The sequence below is a fragment of the Homo sapiens genome, chromosome X, assembly GCF_000001405.40.
Source record: "Homo sapiens chromosome X, GRCh38.p14 Primary Assembly".
Lineage (NCBI taxonomy): Eukaryota > Metazoa > Chordata > Mammalia > Primates > Hominidae > Homo > Homo sapiens.
Window position 1 is genome coordinate 2,258,137 of NC_000023.11, and position 19,348 is coordinate 2,277,484.

The 19,348-nt window shown below is 49.7% G+C and overlaps 1 protein-coding gene across 1 annotated transcript in view, besides 1 other annotated feature; it reads right to left on the reverse strand.

Annotated features, from left to right (window-relative positions):
- Window positions 1-19,348, reverse strand: part of DHRSX (dehydrogenase/reductase X-linked) — a 281,471-nt gene that overhangs the window by 38,631 nt on the left and 223,492 nt on the right. The window contains exon 5 of the mRNA NM_145177.3: window positions 8,604-8,811. Coding sequence (NP_660160.2) covers window positions 8,604-8,811 — 208 coding nt within the window. The remainder of the gene's footprint in view (window positions 1-8,603; window positions 8,812-19,348) is intronic.
- Window positions 4,469-5,303: an enhancer, noted in NCBI's record as "H3K27ac-H3K4me1 hESC enhancer chrX:2180646-2181480 (GRCh37/hg19 assembly coordinates)". NCBI's record gives its function as "activates a minimal SCP1, AML or CMV promoter by ChIP-STARR-seq in primed H9 embryonic stem cells {active_cell/tissue: H9 hESC(primed)}" and the evidence as "EXISTENCE:reporter gene assay evidence [ECO:0000049][PMID:30033119]".

The window sequence follows — 19,348 nt, forward strand, 5'->3', positions numbered from 1 at the left end:
CAGACCTCCAGCCTCCAGGACTGTGGGAGAATCAATGTCTGCTGTTATAAGCTACACAGTCTATGGTATTCTGTGATAGCAGCCTGAGATGGAGTAAGGCATTGCATAAGAAGAGGAGATGAGGACACACACACACACAAAGGGACGACCCTGTGAGGACACAGAGAGAAGATGGCGTCTACAAGTCCAGCAGAGAGGCCTCAGGAGGAACCAGCCCTGCCCATACCTGGATCTCAAACTTCTAGCGTCCAGGACTGTGAGAGAATAATGTCTGTTGTTTATAATCTACCCAGTCTATGGTATTCTGTGATAGCAGCCTGAAATGGGCTAAGACACCTCATAAGAGGAGGAGATGAGGACACAGACACACACAGAGGGATGATCCTGTGAGGACACAGGGAGAAGACGGTGTCTACAACCCAAGGAGAGAGGCCTCAGGAGGAGTCAGCCACACCCACACCTTGATCTGGGACCTCCAGCCTCCAGGACTGTGGGAGGCTCAATGTCTGCTGTTTAAGCCACTAGGTCCGTGGTATTTTATTATGGCAGCCCCAGCAAAGCAATGTTCTCTCCTTTAAGAGATCACTCCTAAGCTATGAACGATGAAAAAGGGGCCTATTTGGAAAGAGTCAGTGCCGTCAACGAAGAACAGTTTCCAGAAAGCTCAGAGGAGGCATCTGTTAACACTCTCTCATTATCCCCTGCAGAGGAATCATGGAGAAATGAAACATGGCTCAGGTGAATGCCTGTCATCAATATTCATTTTACATAATCAAACTGGTGAAGCAAAAGAGGAGAACAGGAAAAGAAAAGCAGTGTAAGTTGAATTGTAAGTCTCGAAAAAATAGGGGGAAGTGGCCGGGCGCAGTGGCTCACGCCTGTAATCCCAGCACTTTGGGAGGCCGAGGCGAGAGGATCACGAGGTCAGGAGATGGAGATCATCCTGGCCAACATGGTGAACCCCCGTCTCTACTAAAAATATAAAAATTATCTGGGCGTGATGGCGCATGCCTGTAATCCCAGCTACTCAGGAGGCTGAGGCAGGAGAATCGCTTGAACCCAGGAGGTAGAGGTTGCAGTGAGCCGAGATCGCACCACTGCATTGCAGCCTGGGCGACAGAGCAAGACTCTGTCTCAAAAAAAAAATATATAGATAGATATATAGATATAGATATAGATATATAGATAGATATAGATATATATAGATATAGATATATAGATAGATATAGATATATATAGATATATATATAGATATATAGATATATATATAGATATAGATATATACAATAAATTAAAATAAAAACAATACAATACAAATAAATAAACAAAAAATGTTAGAGCCGGCTCTGAGCTGGCTCTGGCTCTCAAGCCCTTTGACTTTGAAGTTCCTTGATCTGCTTTGCAATCTGTATTACTTTCCTGGGATTGTCCAAACAAATGAGCACAGACTGGATGCTTCAAAGTCACAGAAATTCATCCAGTGAAGTGATACCTTCTGGAGACCAGAAGTCTGAAATTCAGGAGTGGACAGGGTCGTGCTCTCTCTGGACGGTCTTCTAGGGCAGGAACCCTTCCTGCCTTTCCCAGCTTCTGGGGGCTCGGGGAGTCCCTGACCCCGTGGTCAGATCACTCCAGTCTCTGCCTCCGTCTCCACGTGGACTTCTCCTCTGTGTCTGTGTCTCCTCTTCTGTCTTTTAGAAGGATACCGGTCAGTGGATTTAGGACCTACCCTACTCCAGGATGATCTCATCTCTAGATCTCTAACTAATTACACCGGCAAAGTTCTTTATTTTCAAATAAAGTCTCATTCTAGGTTCTGGGCTTCGGGATGTGGACAGATCTTTCTGTGAACCACCATTCAATCCACTACAATTGTATCCAGTTCCCTCCAGAGGCTCTAGGGGAGGGCCCTTCCTGCCTCTCCCAGCTCCTGGGGGCTCCGGGCATCCCTGACCCTGTGGCTGCATCACTCCAGTCTCTGCCTCCATCTCCACGTGGCCTTCTCCTCTGTGTCTGTGTCTCCTCTTCTGTCTCTTTCCAAGAACACCTGTCATTCCATTTAGGGCCCTTCTTATATGTAGAGTGGGGTCGGAATAGTTAATATTATGTGTTAACCTGACTGGATCATGGGGCACCTAGATGTTTGATTGAATGTTACTCTGGGGTATCTGTGAGGGTGGAGGGGAGGGTCCTTCCTGCCTCTCCCAGCTCCTGGGGGCTCCAGGCATCCCTGGGTGTGTGGCCGCATCACTCCAGTCTCCACCTCCATCTCCATCTCCATGTGGCCTTCTCTGTGTCTCTCTGTCTCCAAATTTTCTACTTCATTTTTTTTTTTTTTTTGAGACAGAGTTTCGCTCTTGTTGCCCAGGCTGGAGTGCAATGGCACGATCTCAGCTCACTGCAACCTCCACCTCCCAGGTTCAAGGAATTCTCCTGCCTCAGCCTCCCGAGTACCTGGGATTACAGACGCGCAGCACCACGCCCGGCTAATTTTTTGTATTTTTAGTAGAGACAGGGTTTCATCATATTGGTCAGGCTGGTCTTGAACTCCTGACCTCAGGTGATCTGCTCACCTTGGCCTCCCAAAGTGCTGGGATGACAGGCATGAGCCAGTGTGCCCAGGTATTTTCTACTTCTTGTAAGGCCACCCATCATATTGGATCAAGGGTCTACCCTAATCATCTCATCTTCACTTAATTCCATCTGCAAAGACCTATTTCTAAATTAGGTCTCAATTATACATATTTGGAGTTAGGATGTGGACATAACTCTTCAGATAAGAGTTAATGGTGGTCGGGTGTGGTGGCTCATGCCTGTAATCCCAGCACTTTGTGAGGTCAAGGCAGGCAGATCACTTGAGGTCAGGAGTTTGATTACAGCCTGGCCAACATGGTGAAGCCCTGTTTCTACTAAAAATACAAAAATTAGCTGGGTGTGGTGGTGCATGCCTGTAATCCCAGCTACTCGGGAGGCTGAGGTGGGAGAATCATTGGAACCCGGGAGGCGGAGGTTGCCGTGAGCCAAGATAGCACCACTGCACTCCAGCCTGGGCAACAGAGTGACATTTGTCTCTTTCAAAAAATAAAATAAAATAATAGTTAATGGCATATAAGCAATACCGTCAAAGCCTTTCTTTAATATGTGTTTTTATAGGAATAAAAACTCTCTTGTTAATTGCACTTGGTAATATATGCTTCCTCAGCTTTCTTAGGTGATAATGAGGCTCAATTCTTATTAAGCGCATGAATCTGCTCTGTAGCACCTAAAGTCTCTAGGAAGTAGCTGTCATTTCTGTTGGGTGGGGTTGTTCTGGATGTGATCTGCTTATCTTCATTATTCAAAACAGAGATCGTGGCTGGGCACGGTGGCTCATGCCTGTAATCCACGCACTTTGGGAGGCCGACATGGGAGGATTACCTGAGGTCAGGAGTTCGAGACCAGCCTGGCCAACGTGGCAAAATCCTGTCTCTACTAAAAATACAAAAATCAACTGGACGTGGTGGCGGGTGCCTGTAGTCCCAGCTGCTTGGGAGTCGAGGCAAGAGAATTGCTTGAACCCGGGAGGCGGAGGTTGCAGTGAGCCGAGATCACACCACTGCACTCCAGCCTGGGAGACAGAGTGAGACTCCATCTGAAAAAAAAAATGAGTAAATACAACAGAGATTGCTTTGATCAACAGTATCAACCCCAAAGTGAGCTCTCAGAATAACAGACAGGCGGCCCTCCACCAGTGCTGTACGAGGAAGGGGTGTTCCTGTGTGTCTTTGGCGAGCGGTAATGCCTGCCAAGCAGCTCACATTCCCCAGGTTCCCCAACCCATGCCTTGCCTTGCTCAGTGAGTCGTGTCTGCAGCAAGTGCTGCTGGCTGTGCCAAGACTCCTCGTTCCCTCCTCCCTTCTCCCAGGCCCTCTCATACAGCAGGCTCCGTGTGTGGAGCCCCGAGTGGGCATCAGGGAAGGCTGGCCCCCACACACCCAGCCCAGCCTCAGGCCTGGAGTTAGGGAAGCCAGTCATGGCAGGGCTGTTCTTGCCAGTGGGTCCAGGCAAACCCTTCAGCATGGAGCCCGAGGCAGGAGGCCTACACAATCCTGCAGTGAGCCCTGAGCTGAGAAGAAGCCTGAGAAACACGCATGTCTTCCTCTGGGTGCTGTCATGCATGGGTGTGAAAACAGGAAATGCCCCAGCCAGCATACACACGTCACCTGCGCACACTGGCACGCACATGACTCACCTGTGCACACGAGCACTCACGCACCTTATCTGTGCACACTGGCACGCACCTCACCTGTGTACACAGGCATGCACATCTCATGTGTGCCCACGGGCACAAAGACCTCATCTGTGCCCACAGGTACACACAACTCACCTGTGCATATGGGCACGCATGCACCTCACCTGTGCATACTGGTACACACCTCACCTGTGCACATTGGCACACACATCTCAGCTGTACACACAGGCACGCACACATGCCCTTGCTTCCTCAGGGCACCATGAAGGAGAAGCAGCCCCTCCCGGCCACAGGCCCTGCTCTCCCTGCATTCCTCTCACCCGCCCTTCCCTGCACAGCCCGGTGCTTCTTCAGCTGCCCGGAGAAGATGAAGTCCTGGCCAGCCTCGCTCCTTCCCTCCCACAACCGGCAGGGTTCACACTTCATGCAGGATCCCATCGAGGCCGACTCCCTCATCCCACACCCTTCAGAGCAGAGAGGCTCACAGACACAGGAGCTCAATTCGACAAAACAGATGGGCCAAGGTATCCTAGGAGGCCCCCACGGCCCTCCCTTCGTTACATCCTGCCCCTCGCTGTGCAGGGAAATGCAAACTGTTAGGAGCTGGCAGGGCCTGTGCCCCTGGGCTCACCCTCCTCGTAGTCCTGAGGGTACTCCAGGGCCTGGGGGTGGGGAGGGCGCCCACCCTGCTGTACATTACAGAGGCTGGCCCCAAAGTCTGATGCTGGCACAGCCAAGCAGCCAGTTCTTTCCGAGTGTGGCATTAACGCTTTGTGATCTTAGGGCTGCAGAGAAATTCAAAGGCGAGTCCGACTGTGTGCTCTGACTGTGTCTGTCTCCAAATTCCTACATGGAAATCCTCATCCCCCGTGAGATGGTGTTAGGAGGTGAGGCCCTTGGGAGGTGATGAGGTCACGATGGGGGAGACTCAAGTATGGAATCAGTGCCTTTATAAAGGGGACCCCAGAGAGCTCCCTTGCCCCTTCCACTGCTTGATGACACAGTGAGAAGGTGCCATGTGTGAACCAGGAAGCGGGTTCTCGCCAGACGCTGGCACACTTTGATCTTGGACTTCCAGCCTCCAGAACCGTGAGACATAAATGTGTGTTATTTATAAGCCACCCAAACTATGGAATTTTTCTTTCTTTTTTTTTTTTTTTTTTGAGACGGAATTTTGCTGTTGTTACTCCGGCTGGAGTGCAGTGGCGTGATCTTGGCTCACCACAACCTCCGCCTCCCGGGTTCAAGCGATTCTCCTGCCTCAGCCTCCCGAGTAGCTGGGATTACAGGCGTCCACCACCACGCCTGGCTAATTTTGTATTTTTAATAGAGATGGGGTTTCACCATGTTGGTCAGGATGGTCTCGATCTCCTGACCTCGTGATCTACCTGCCTCAGCCTCCCAAAGTGCTGGGATGACAGGCGTGAGCCACCACACCCGGACTGCTGGATTTTTTCTTATATCAGCTTAAACAAACTAAGATGATTATTCCCACAGAGGAATCGTTTTTATCCTTAAGGCGGGGTTAGGAGGAATTCACAAGAGAGACCTGCTGATGGACAGACAGTACATTGCGTGTCGACAGGAGTCCACACCAATGCCACCTGCAGATGCAGTGCCTGACATTCCCATGGGGGCACAAGAGAAGGTTTAAATAGATCCGTTTTCCTTTTCTATGTCTCACCTCTGTGTTTCTTGTTCCTTCTAAAAAATAAAGTAACAATACCATCGCACATTGCTAAGTTGCCCAAGGACAGCAAATGGCTGGGGATGTACATATCCCACAACACAGCGCCAGGAGCACCTGTGCCCGGCAGATGCAGGCAGCACCATTTCCAGAGCACATGTGCCCAGCAGATACAGGTAGCAGTGTGCCCAGAGCACCGCTACCCAGCAGAAGCAGGGAGCACCGTGCCCAGAGCACCTCTACCCAGCAGACTCAGGGAGCACCGTGCCCAGAGCACCTGTGTCCAGCAGACTCAGGGAGCACTGTGCCCAGAGCACCTCTACCCAGCAGATGCAGGGAGCACCATGCCCAGAGCACCTGTGTCCAGCAGACTCAGGGAGCACTGTGCCCAGAGCACCTGTGCTCAGCAGACGCAGAGAGCACCGTGCCCAGAGCACCTGTGTCCAGCAGACTCAGGGAGCACTGTGCCCAGAGCACCTGTGCTCAGCAGACGCAGAGAGCACAATGCCCAGAGCACCAGTGCCCACCAGATGCAGGGAGCACTGTTCCCAGAGGACCATGCCCAGCAGATGCAGGGAGCATCGTGCCCAGAACATCTGTGCCCAGCAGATCCAGGGAGCACCATTTCCAGGGCACGTGCGCCCAGTAGACACAGAGAGCAGTGTGCCCAGAACACCTGTGCCCAGCAGACACAGGGAGTACCGTGCCCAGAGCACCTGTGCTCAGCAGACACAGGGAGCACCGTGCCCAGAGCACAATGCTCAGGAGATGCAAGGAGCACCGTTCTCAGAGCACCCATGCCCAGCAGATGCAGGGAGCACTATGCCGGGCACCAATGTGCAGCAAATGCGGGGGCACTGTGCCCAGAGCACCCATGCCCAGCAGACTCCAGGGAGCACCGTAGCCAGAGCACCTGTGCCCAGCAGATGCAGGAAGCACCAGTGCTCAGCAGACGCAGGGAGCACTGTCCCCAGAGCACCAGTGTCCAGCAGACACAGGGAGCACTGTCCCCAGAGCACCAGTATCCAGCAGACGCAGGGAGCACTGTCCCCAGAGCACCAGTGCTCAGCAGACGCAGGGAGCACTGTCCCCAGAGCACCAGTGTCCAGCAGACGCAGGGAGCACTGTCCCCAGAGCACCAGTGCTCAGCAGACGCAGGGAGCACTGTCCCCAGAGCACCAGTGCTCAGCAGACGCAGGGAGCACTGTCCCCAGAGCACCAGTGCTCAGCAGACGCAGGGAGCACTGTCCCCAGAGCACCAGTGCTCAGCAGACGCAGGGAGCACTGTCCCCAGAGCACCAGTGCTCAGCAGACGCAGGGAGCACTGTCCCCAGAGCACCAGTGTACAGCAGACGCAGGGAGCACTGTCCCCAGAGCACCAGTGTCCAGCAGACGCAGGGAGCACTGTCCCCAGAGCACCAGTGTCCAGCAGAAGCAGGGAGCACTGTCCCCAGAGCACCAGTGTCCAGCAGATGCAGGGAGCACTGTCCCCAGAGCACCAGTGCTCAGCAGATGCAGGGAGCACTGTCCCCAGAGCACCAGTGTACAGCAGACGCAGGGAGCACTGTACCCAGAGCACCAGTGTACAGCAGACGCAGGGAGCACTGTACCCAGAGCACCAGTGCTCGGCAGACGCAGGGAGCACTGTCCCCAGAGCACCAGTGTATAGCAGATGCAGGGAGCATTGTCCCCAGAGCACCAGTGCTTGGCAGACGCAGGGAGCACTGTCCCCAGAGCACCGGTGTCCAGCAGACGCAGGGAGCACTGTCCTCAGAGCACCAGTGTACAGCAGACACAGGGAGCACCGTCCCCAGAGCACCAATGCTCGGCGGACACAGGGAGCACTGTCCCCAGAGCACCAGTGCTCGGCAGATGCAGGGAGCACTGTCCCCAGAGCACCAGTGTACAGCAGATGCAGGGAGCACTGTTCCCAGAGCACCAGTGCTCGGCAGACGCAGGAAGCACTGTTCCCAGAGCACCAGTGTACAGCAGACGCAGGGAGCACTGTCCCCAGAGCACCAGTGCTCGGCAGACGCAGGGAGCACTGTACCCAGAGCACCAGTGTACGGCAGACACAGGGAGCACTGTACCCAGAGCACCAGTGTACAGCAGATGCAGGGAGCACTGTCCCCAGAGCACCAGTGCTTGGCAGACGCAGGGAGCACTGTCCCCAGAGCACCGGTGTCCAGCAGACGCAGGGAGCACTGTCCTCAGAGCACCGGTGTACAGCAGACACAGGGAGCACCGTCCCCAGAGCACCAATGCTCGGCAGACACAGGGAGCACTGTCCCCAGAGCACCAGTGCTCGGCAGATGCAGGGAGCACTGTCCCCAGAGCACCAGTGTACAGCAGATGCAGGGAGCACTGTTCCCAGAGCACCAGTGCTCGGCAGACGCAGGAAGCACTGTTCCCAGAGCACCAGTGCTCGGCAGACGCAGGGAGCACTGTCCCCAGAGCACCAGTGCTCGGCAGATGCAGGGAGCACTGTCCCCAGAGCACCAGTGTCCGGCAGATGCAGGGAGCACTGTCCCCAAAGCACCAGTGCTCGGCAGACGCAGGGAGCACTGTTCCCAGAGCACCAGCGTCCAGCAGATGCAGGGAGCGCCACACCGCACAGACAGAGGGAGATGAATAACCTTTAACCCACCTGAGATGCTGTTATGATTATTCACAGGGTGCACCTACCTGCTCTGAAGGTCATCCATGTTCAGCTCAGCGACGTAATGGGTGGCAGAGGAGACGGTGACCACCCTCGCACTGTGGCCAGGGGACCCAGACTCTTTCAGCGTATCCAAGAGAAGGTTGGTCAGCAGGAAGTGCCCTAGGTAGTTCAGGCCGAAATGTTCTTCGAATCCATCTCTGGTTTTCCTCTGAGGGACCATCATCACCCCAGCTGGACAAAAGAGAATATCAGAAGGAGTTAGACTGGGGAAGACAGTGGAGAAATCTCACAGATGGATTCCCCAGATGCGCAAATGGCCCAGGACATCGGAGGGTGGGGTGTAGAGCTGGCGGCCATGTCTTCCTCCTGGGCCTCTGTTTCCTGCTTTAGGTGTGATGGAGAAGATTCTAGAAGATCACTGAAGTCCCTTCCTGCCTTCTGTCTCTGCACCTCTGTGCCTTGAGTTTAAAAATAATAACCACAGGCCGGGCGCGGTGGCTCACGCCTGTCATCCCAGCACTTTGGGAGGCTGAGGCGGGTGGATCACCTGAGGTCAGAAGTTCATGCCTGTCATCCCAGCACTTTGGGAGGCCAAGGCGGGTGGATCATCTGAGGTCAGGACTTCAAGACCAGCCTGCCCAACATGGTGAAACCCTTGTCTCTAGTAAAAATACAAAAATTAGCCAGGTTTGGTGGCAGGGTCCTGTAGTTCCAGCTACTCAGGAGGCTGAGGCAGGAGAATTGCTTGAACCTGGGAGGCGGAGGTTGCAGTGAGCTGAGATCATGCCACTGCACTCCAGCCTGGTGACAGAGCGAGACTCCATCTCAAAAAAAAAAAAAAGGAAAAGAAAAATAATAACCACAATGATAACACAGCAACACACACAAGAGAGTGAGAATCATCCAAGTCACCAAACAGAGTCCCCTGGACAATTAATTATTCTGGGCGGCTAGGTGTGATGGCTCATACATGTAATCCCAGCCTTTGGGTAGGTGAGTAGGGCAGACTGCTTGACGTCAGGAGTTCGAGACCAGGCTGTGCACCACAGTGAAACTCCATCTTTACCAAAAATACAAAAAATTAGTGGGTGTGGTGGTGCGTGCCTGTAGTCCCAGCTACTCGGGGAGGTTGAGGCGGGAGGATTGTTTGAGCCCAAGAGGTGGAGGTTGCAGTGAGCCGAGATTGTGCTACTGCACCCCAGCCTGGGCAACAGAGATCCTGTCTCCCCCCAGAATTCTGGACAAGTATAGCTGCTATGGCACCCCCTCTTCACTGAGTATCCCACAAACAAACTGCTCAGATGTCCTTTGAGAAATGCCGACCTCAGTATAAACATGGCCTGTCCTCACCCCTAGACCACAGGGCAGCCCTGTCGGTCATCATTCTATAGACATCATCATCACCGCAGGTTCTGTGCTTGACATGTTCTATCTACCAGACACAGAACAGCCCACCCCTGTCAGGCCAAGCCCGGCTGAGCGCCTGCCCTGAAGTCCTTGCTGTGGAGGCCTGATCTCAAAGGTGACTTGTCCTAGAAACACGCACGAACCATACTGCCTTGTACTTAGAGCAGACCAGTTTGCTTGGATATTAATGCCAATGTAGATATGTATTTGTATGTACATGGATAATGTAGATGTGTATACATAGGCATGTTATATATGTACCTGGAATTCTGTATCTATCTACACGTAACGCAAATACAGGCACGTCTATTCATATACATATATGCATACGCATTTGTAAATGTGTTTATATAGCTATACACTTGGGTATATAACTGCATGTATGCATAATTCAAAGATATATGCCTATAGAGATATATGTTAGCATGTACATATGTGTTCACGTCTTTACATGCAGATTCATTTTCAAATGCCTATAAATTTGTGCATATTTTCTTTTACATATGTGTTGTATGCACATGTGCATGAGTTTGCATGTGTACACATTTATTCACATGTATATACATGTCCATACACATTTACATCTTTGCATGTGTATCTGCATACAGTGTATGTATATATTATATGTTTCTATTTGGAATTGTACAATCGCAAGTATTTGCATGTGTTCATACACCTACAAACACACAGCATTTGTCATTATTTGTACATTGGAACATCTACGTGTATTGCACGCATGAATATGCATTTTGATTCATCTGTGGAATCCCATAGCTTTTGCATTTGTGCACGTTTGCATTTGCAAATGCATTTGAGGTGTATGATTAATACACACACACACCTATCCATTTGCATATGGACACGTTTGTGTTCAAAGATGTATTTCAATATGGAGCTATATTGATATTTGTAGATCTATTTCTGTATTTGTATATATATGTGTTTGCATCTGCATGTGTACATATCTTTCTATGCATATGCATTTGTATATGTGTTTGTGTGTATTTTATATGGAGCTATCTATACATATATGTAGGTCTAGCATTTGTCTACATATTTGTATATGTATATCTGCATGTGTACATATTTTCCTATGCATATGCATTTGTATATATGCTTGTATTAGTGTGTATGTATTTTATATCTACACACAAATATATAGAGGTCTAGCATTTCTCTGTGTATTTGTACATGTATACATGCATCTGCAAGTGCACACATTTTTTATATGTACATGTATTTGTATATGTGCTTGTATTTGTGTGTATTTTATATGGAGATATCTACACATATATAGGCCTAGCATTTCTCTACTTATTTGTATATGTATACGTGTATCTGTACATGAATACATTTTCCTAGGTACATGCATTTGTTTATGTGCTTGTATGTGTGTGTGTATTTTATATGTATGTATTTATTTATTTTTTGAGGAGGAGTTTCGCTCTTGTCGTCCAGGCTGGAGTGCAATGAGGCAGTCTCGCCTCACTGCAACCTCCGCCTCCCAGGTTCAAGCAATTTTCCTGCCTTAGCCTCCCGAGTAGCTGGGATTACAGGCACCCACCACCACACGTGGCTAAATTTTTCTGTATTTTCAGTAGAGACGGGGTTTTGCCATGTTGGCCAGGCTGCTCTCAAACTCCTGACCTCAGGGGATCCGCCCACCTCGGCCTCCCTAAGTGCTGGGATTACAGGCGTGAGACACTGCACCCGGCCGTGTGTGTATTTTATATGGAGATATGTATATATCTATAGGTCTAGCGTTTCTGTATGTATTTGTGTATGTATATGTACATCTGCATAGCGTACATCTTTTTCTATGCATATGCATTTGTACACGTGCTTGTGTTTGTGTGTATCTTATATGGAGCTATCTATACATATATGTAGGTCTAGCATTTCTCTATGTGTTTGTATATGTAGAGGTGTATCCGTAGGTGTATACATTTTTTGAGGTACATGCATTTGTATATGTGCTTGCTTCTGTGTGTACTGTAATATCTGTATGTTATTTGTGCCTCGGTACATGGACCCATTTCCCTATAAATTTTTGATGCGTGTGCATTTGTGTACCTGCCTGTGTTTGTGTACACAGTCTTTCCAGTTGTACTTTATGAACACTCAAAACCAAAGCTGGCTCCTCGCCGGCTCAGCATTCCCAAAGAACCAAGCAGGAGCCACGTGGCCTTATCGACCCAACTTTGGAACTCCTACAGAGTTGTCACCACTGCCCCATTCTAGGAATTACGAGACAGTTAATGAGGACAGCCGAGATTCAAGAGACGGAGCAGGGACTCCAGCTCCCGAAGAGACAAGTGTGAAAAGAATTTGCAGGCCTGTTTTACAGCCTCTCCAACCCGCCTTTCAAAACTGTGGATGCACAGGCCGCACTGGATGCCCCATTGCGCGGAGGGCCCACAGAAGACTCAGCAGTGGGTCCCGCGGCTCTACACGTCCCTGGCCCCAGTGGAGGCTTGACAATTGTGAGGTCCTTGAGGAAAAACCAACGTCTTATTCTGGCTGTAGCCTCCACAGTGCGGTTGTAGTGCTTTGGGTACAGCAAGGGGGAAATAAAAAATAAACGTGGATGGAGATCTGCTGCTTTTGAGACGTGAAGCCACCTGGACTTCCTGGGTCGAGTGGAGACCCGGAGACCTTTTGTCTAGCTAAAGAATTGTAAAGGCACCAATCAGCACTCTAAAATGGACCATTCAGCAGTCTGTAAAATGGACCAATCAGTGCTCTGTAAAATGGACCAATCAATGCTCTATAAAATGGACCAATCAGCACTCTGTAAAATGGACCAATCAGCACTCTGTAAAATGGACCAATCAGCACTCTGTAAAATGGACCAGTCAGCAGGATGTGGGCGGGGCCAAATAAGGGAATAAAAGCTGGCCACCTGAGCCAGCTTGTGTCCCCTTCCACGTTGTGGAAACTTTGTTGTTTCACTCTTCACCATAAATCTTGCTGCTGCTCACTCTTTGGGTCTACACTACCTGTATGAGCTGTAAGACTCACTGCCAAGGTCCGCAGCTTCACTCCTGAAGTCAGCGAGTCTGCGAACCCACCAGAAGGAAAAAACTCCAGGCACATCTGAACATCTGAAGGAACAAACTCGGGACGCACCATCTTTAAAAGCCCTAACACTCACCGTGAGGGTCTGCGGCTTCATTCTTGAAGTCAGCGAGACCAAGAACCCACAAGAAGGAATAAATTCTGGACACACTCTCACAGAGAATGGTGGCAGGGGAGAGGCACCACCATGCCATTCCAGGCCTGTGGCCTGCTGAAATCCTCAGGGAGAAATGAGCAGACTGTTCAGGTGCAGTCCTTGCTTCTCACCTGCACACACTTTCCAGCCAGACTCAGTGCTTCCCCCTCCTACGTGAATATCTAGCTTTCAAAAAAACTTCCAGGATACAGAGAATTTATTCCCTGAGCTTATGCCTGTAAAACATCAGGAGTATAAACCAACTGGGAGGGATCCAATATCAATCAGGGTCCAGTATCAATCAGTCACAAGACACATGTGTATTAAACATTCAACACTCCTACAGTCCTCAAAGCCCATCTAACAAAACACTTCTGAGAAGTATGTCAGAATTCACCTCAGGAGTTATCCAGAAAAAAAGCCCGGCCCGGTGGGTCATGCCTGTAATCCTCCCAGCACTTTCAGAGGGCGAAGCGGGCAGATCAGTTCAGGTCAGGAGTTCGAGACCAGCTTGGCCAACATGGAGAAACCTTGTCTCTACTAAAAATACAAAATTAGCCGGGCGTGGTGGTGCATGCCTGTAATCCCAGCTACTCGGGAAGCTGAGGCAGGAGAATCGCTTGAACCTGGGAGGCAGAGGTTGCAGTGAGCCGAGATCACACCACTGCACTCCAGCCTGGGCGAAAGAGTGAGACAAAACGAAACAAAAAAACATACCTGCACCTGTCTGTTTCTTGCAGCACAACTCACAACTGCAAACATACGGAATCAACCTAAGTTGATTTTTGTCTCAAAAACAAAAAAAAACCAACAACAAAAAAACAAAAACACCAGAATAGGTTGCTGTGGGTGGACGGGAAGCTTTGCATTTTGATGAACTATAAACATCTTTTTCACGATGCCATTTTCCTCATATTTTATTTGATGTGAAGAATCTGGAGACACACAGCTCAATCCGTGCCTGAAGTGTCATAAATTCCCAGCTTAGGAGAGACGAGCTTATCATGAACACCTGGCTTATGCATGCATGGTTTTGAAAGGCAGCTTCAGGGGGCTCTAAAGCAGGCCTGCAAATTCTTTTGACACTCGTCTCCTTGGGAGCTAGAGTCTACGCCCCTTCCCTTGAATCTCGGCCATGCTCATTAACTTTCTCGTTAATTCTTTTGTAGAATGCCACAGTGGTGTAAACACTGTGTGACTTCCAAAGTTGGGTCAATAAGGTCACGTGGCCCCTGCTTGGTTCTTGGGAATGCTGAGTCTGGGAGGAGCCAGCTTTGGTTTAAAAAGACTGAGCACCTTCAGCCTGACATGCTGGAGAGGCCCCAGGTACCTGTTCTTGTTGGCCCTCCCAGCTAAGCCCAGGTGACAGGCTGTACCAGCTTCTTGACACCAGAGAAAGCTATCCTGGACATCCAACCTGGTCAAGCCTTCAGATAAAGTCAGCCCCAGCTGCAGCCCCACAGGAGACCCCCCAGGCAGAACTGCCTACATTCCTGTGCCCCGAAAGAAAGTGAATTCATACAAGCTGTATAGAAAACAGCACGGATGTTCCTCTCAAAGAACTAAAAGCAGATCATTTGTTCGATCCAGCAATCCCACTCCTGGGTATCTACCCAAAGGAAAAGAAGTCCTTATATCAAAAAGACACCTGCAGGCCAGGCATGGTGGCTCACGCCTGTCATCCCAGCACTTTGGGAGACCAAGGCGGGCAGATCACCTGAGGTCAGGAGTTCGAGAGCAGCCTGGGCAACATGGAGAAACCCCAGAATTGCTTGAACCCAGGAGGTGGAGGTTGCAGTGAGCCGAGATCGCACCACTGCACTCCAGCCTGGGTGACAGAGCAAGACTCCATCTCAAAAATAAATAAATCAATAAAATAAAATAATCAAACAAAACAATACAAAACAAAATACCTGCACCTGTCTGTTTCTTGCAGCACAACTCACAATTGCAAACATACGGAATCAACCTAAGTACCCCTCCGTGGAGTACTGGATAAAGAAAATGGAATGGAATACTACTAAGCCATTAAAAAGAGTGGAATCGTGTCATTGGCAGTAACTTGGATAGAACTGGAGGTTATTATTCTACGTGGAGTCACTCAAGAACAGAAAAGCAAATACACGTTCTCACTTGTAAGTGGGCACTAAGCTCTGGGTATGCTTCTGGCATTGAAGGGGCATACGGAATAGAGGAATACACATTAGAGACTGAGGGTGGGGCTGTGAGTGAACCTGTCACCCAGGAAATGGCCACTGTACCCAACAGGTGGTTTTTCATCCCCTGCCTCCCTCCCCCTACCTTCTAGCAGTCAAGAGTTTCTGCTCTTCCCATCTTTGTGTCCATGAGTACCCGCTGTGTACCTTCCAGGTGTAAGTCAGAACATGCAGTATTTGGTTTTCTGTTTCTGTGCTGGTTCTCTTAGGATAATGGCTTGCAGCTCTGAGCAAATTCTTGGTGACAACAGCATCGTTGGGGAAGGTATCTTTTGCAAGAGCAGAGGGGACAGTGCTTCTGTGCAGGCAGGTGGTGACCTGTGCTCCAGATGAATCCGAGCCGTGCTAGGGACTCGCCTGGCGGGGAAGCTGCGTGAGAATTCCTGCGCCGTGGTGAATGCAGCAGCCACGCGCAGGGGCCCTGGATGCTGATAATTCATCGTTAGTGAGCTACTGCGAGTAATTACGTTTATTCCTATTTTATTATTATTATTATTACTTTGAGGTAAACTCTTGCTGTGTCACCCAGACTGGAGTGCAGTGTTGTGATGTCGGCTCACTGCAACCTCTGCCTCCTGGGTTCAAGCGATTCTCCTGCCTCAGCCTCCCGAGTACATGGGATTACAGGCACCTGCCCCGATGGCCAGCTATTTTTTGTATTTTTAGTAGAGACGGGGTTTCACCATGTTGGCCAGGCTGCTCTTGAACTCCTAATCTCAACTGATCCTCCCGCCTTGGCCTCCCAAAGTGCTGGGACTACAGGTGTGAGCCACTGCACCCAGCCCTACTAATATTATTATTTTTTTGGAGACAGAGTCTCGCTCTGTCAACCAAGCTGGAGTGCAGTGTGTCCGTATTTTATTTTTTATTTCATTTTTTTTGAGATGGAGTCTCACTCTGTTGCCCAGGCTGGATTGCAGTGGGTTGAACTCGGCTCACTGCAACCTCCGCCTCCCGGGTTGAAGTGATTCTTCTGCCTCAGCCTCCCAAGTAGCTGGGATTACAGGTGTGCACCACAACACCCGGCTAAACTTTTTTTTTTTTTTTTTGTATTTTTAGTAGAGATGGGGTTTTGTCATGTTGACCAGTCTGGTCTCGAACTCCTGACCCCAAGTGATCTGCCCGCCTCAGCCTCCCAAAGTGCTGGGATCCCAGGTGTGAGCCACCGCGCCCGGCCACGCACCCGTATTTTAAACCACAGTGTCACGGAGACGTTTCTAGGCAGCAAACCCACCTGAAACGCTGATATTTACGGAACGAAAGCCTGACATATTCTGAAGGAGAAATTGTTTTGTTGTTGAGTTCTTTGCCAGTGGCTTTAGGTATTAATTTTCCTCTTCCTATGTAAGCAGAGCATTGAAAGACCAGATTGGTGCCAGGTAGAGAGATTGGATGGGTGCCTGAGATGCCTGTTAGGAGGCCATTATCATGGCCTAGGAAGAGATGATGGTACCCCAGAGGAGGGATTGACGGAAGTCCGAAATGCAGAATTGAGTACTAGTTAGACAATCGACGGCAAATTCAAATGCCTGTAGGCTTTTGTATGTGTTTTAAATTTTCCATAATCATGTTTTTTTCGGCATCAGTAAAATTCTATTTATTTATTTTTGTCAAGTTATTATTTTCTTTTAAATCAAAGGAAAGTATAAAAAAGGTGCACAGGGCTGGGCACGGTGACTCACACCTGTAATCCCAGCACTCTGGGAGGCCGAGGCAGGCGGATGACCTGAGGTCAGGAGTTTGAGACCAGCCTGGCCAACTTGGTGAAACCCCGTCTCTACTAAAAATACAAAAAAAAAAAAAAAATTAGCTGAGTGTGGTGGCGGGCACCTGTAATTTCAGCTGCTTGGGAGGCTGAGGCAGGAGAATTTCTGGAACTCAGGAGGCAGAGGTTGCAGTGAGCTGATATCGTGCACTGCACTCCAGCCCCGGCCGACAACAGCGAGACTATGTTTCAAAACAAAAAAAAAAAAGGTGCAGAGATCATGAGGGAAATCTCAATGGAATCATCCAAAGCGAGCACTCTCCCCTCTCAGGTAACCGCCTCCCACATCTGCACCCCTAAGCCCTTTTTTGATCCAAAATTAATTATCACATTCTTCTAAGGTAACTACAATTCCAATTTCCATTACCATAGATTTAATTTGCCTGTTTTTTTCTGGGAGGCGGAGATTGCAGTGAGAAGAGGTTGTGCCACTGCACTCCAGCCTGGGCGACAGAGCAAGGCTCTGTCTCAAAAAAGGAAATAAATAAATAAAATAAAATAATAATTTGCCTTTTTTTAAAAATTTTAATTTAATTTTATTTTTGAGATGGAGTCTCACTCTGTCGCTAGGCTGGAGTGCAGTGGCACAATCTCGGCCCACTGCAGCCTCTGCCTCCCGGGTTCCAGAAATTCTCCTGCCTCAGGCTCCTGAGTAGCTGGGATTACAGGTGTATGCTACTATGCCCAGCTAATTTCTGTATTTTTAGTAGAGACGGGATTTCACCGTGTTGGCCAGGATGGTCTCGAACTCCTGACCTCGTGATCCATCCACGTCGGCCTCCCAAAGTGCTGGGATTACAGGCGTGGGCCATCGCGCCCGGCCTGTTTCTTAAAATTTCAATAATTTTTGGGAAACCAGTGGTTTTGGGCTACATGGATACATTCTTTTGTGGTGACTTCTGAGATTTTGTTGCACAAGTTTTAATCATCAGCAAATATACTGATGTTTCATTGCGAATTTTGTAAGGAATAAGAAAACCCTGTGGCCACGTCAGTGTATCGGGTGCCGTCCACGTTAGGAGCATTCACGGAATCTGTCTCTTCGCCAATTCAAAGGTGGAGAATACACAATAGAACTATCGTTCATTGATCTGCGAATCGAAAGGTGGAAAATACAGAATAAAACTATCGTCCATCGATCTGCCAATTCAAAGGTGGAAAATAAACAGTAAAATTATCGTCCATTGATCTGCCAATTCAAAGGTGGAAAATACGCAATACAATTATCGTTCATTGGTCTGTGCACCTAATGGCATTTTACTGGGGAGTGAACGCTCAGGGTCACAATCACATATTGTGCCTGAAGCAGTGAACACAGGTGAGGTGTATCCTGAACGGGAGGAGAAGGGAGAGTTCTCCGCTCTCCAAGCGGAGAACTCCAGAGAAAGGAGAGTGATGGGGATGAAAGGGCAATCAGAGAGAGAGAGAGGAGAGAGAGAGGGAGGGCAAAGAAGGAAGAGAGAAGGAGAGGGAGGAAATAGGGAGAAAGAGAGACAAAGAGAGATGGAGAGGGAACAGGGAGAGAGAGGGAGGGCAAACGAGAGGGAGAGAGAAGGAGGGGAGGAAATAGGGGAAAGAGAGAAAGAGAGATGGAGAGGGAACAGGGAGAGAGAGGGAGGGCAAACGAGAGAGGGAGAGAGAAGGAAGAGGAGGAAATGGGGGAAGAGAGAGAAAGAGAGATGGAGAGGGAACAGGGAGAGAGAGGGAGGGCAAACGAGAGGGAGAGAGGAGGAGAGGGAGGAAATAGGGGGAAAGAGAGAAAGAGAGATGGAGAGGGAACAGGGAGAGAGAGGGAGGGCAAACGAGAGAGGGAGAGAGAAGGAAGAGGAGGAAATAGGGGAAAGAGAGAAAGAGAGATGGAGAGGGAACAGGGAGAGAGAGGGAGGGCAAACGAGAGAGGGAGAGAGAAGGAAGAGGAGGAAATGGGGGAAAGAGAGAAAGAGAGATGGAGAGGGAACAGGGAGAGAGAGGGAGGGCAAACGAGAGAGGGAGAGAGAAGGAAGAGGAGGAAATGGGGGAAAGAAAGAGAAAGAGAGATGGAGAGGGAACAGGGAGAGAGAGGGAGGGCAAACGAGAGGGAGAGAGAAGGAGGGGAGGAAATAGGGGAAAGAGAGAGAAAGAGAGATGGAGAGGGAACAGGGAGAGAGAGGGAGGGCAAACGAGAGA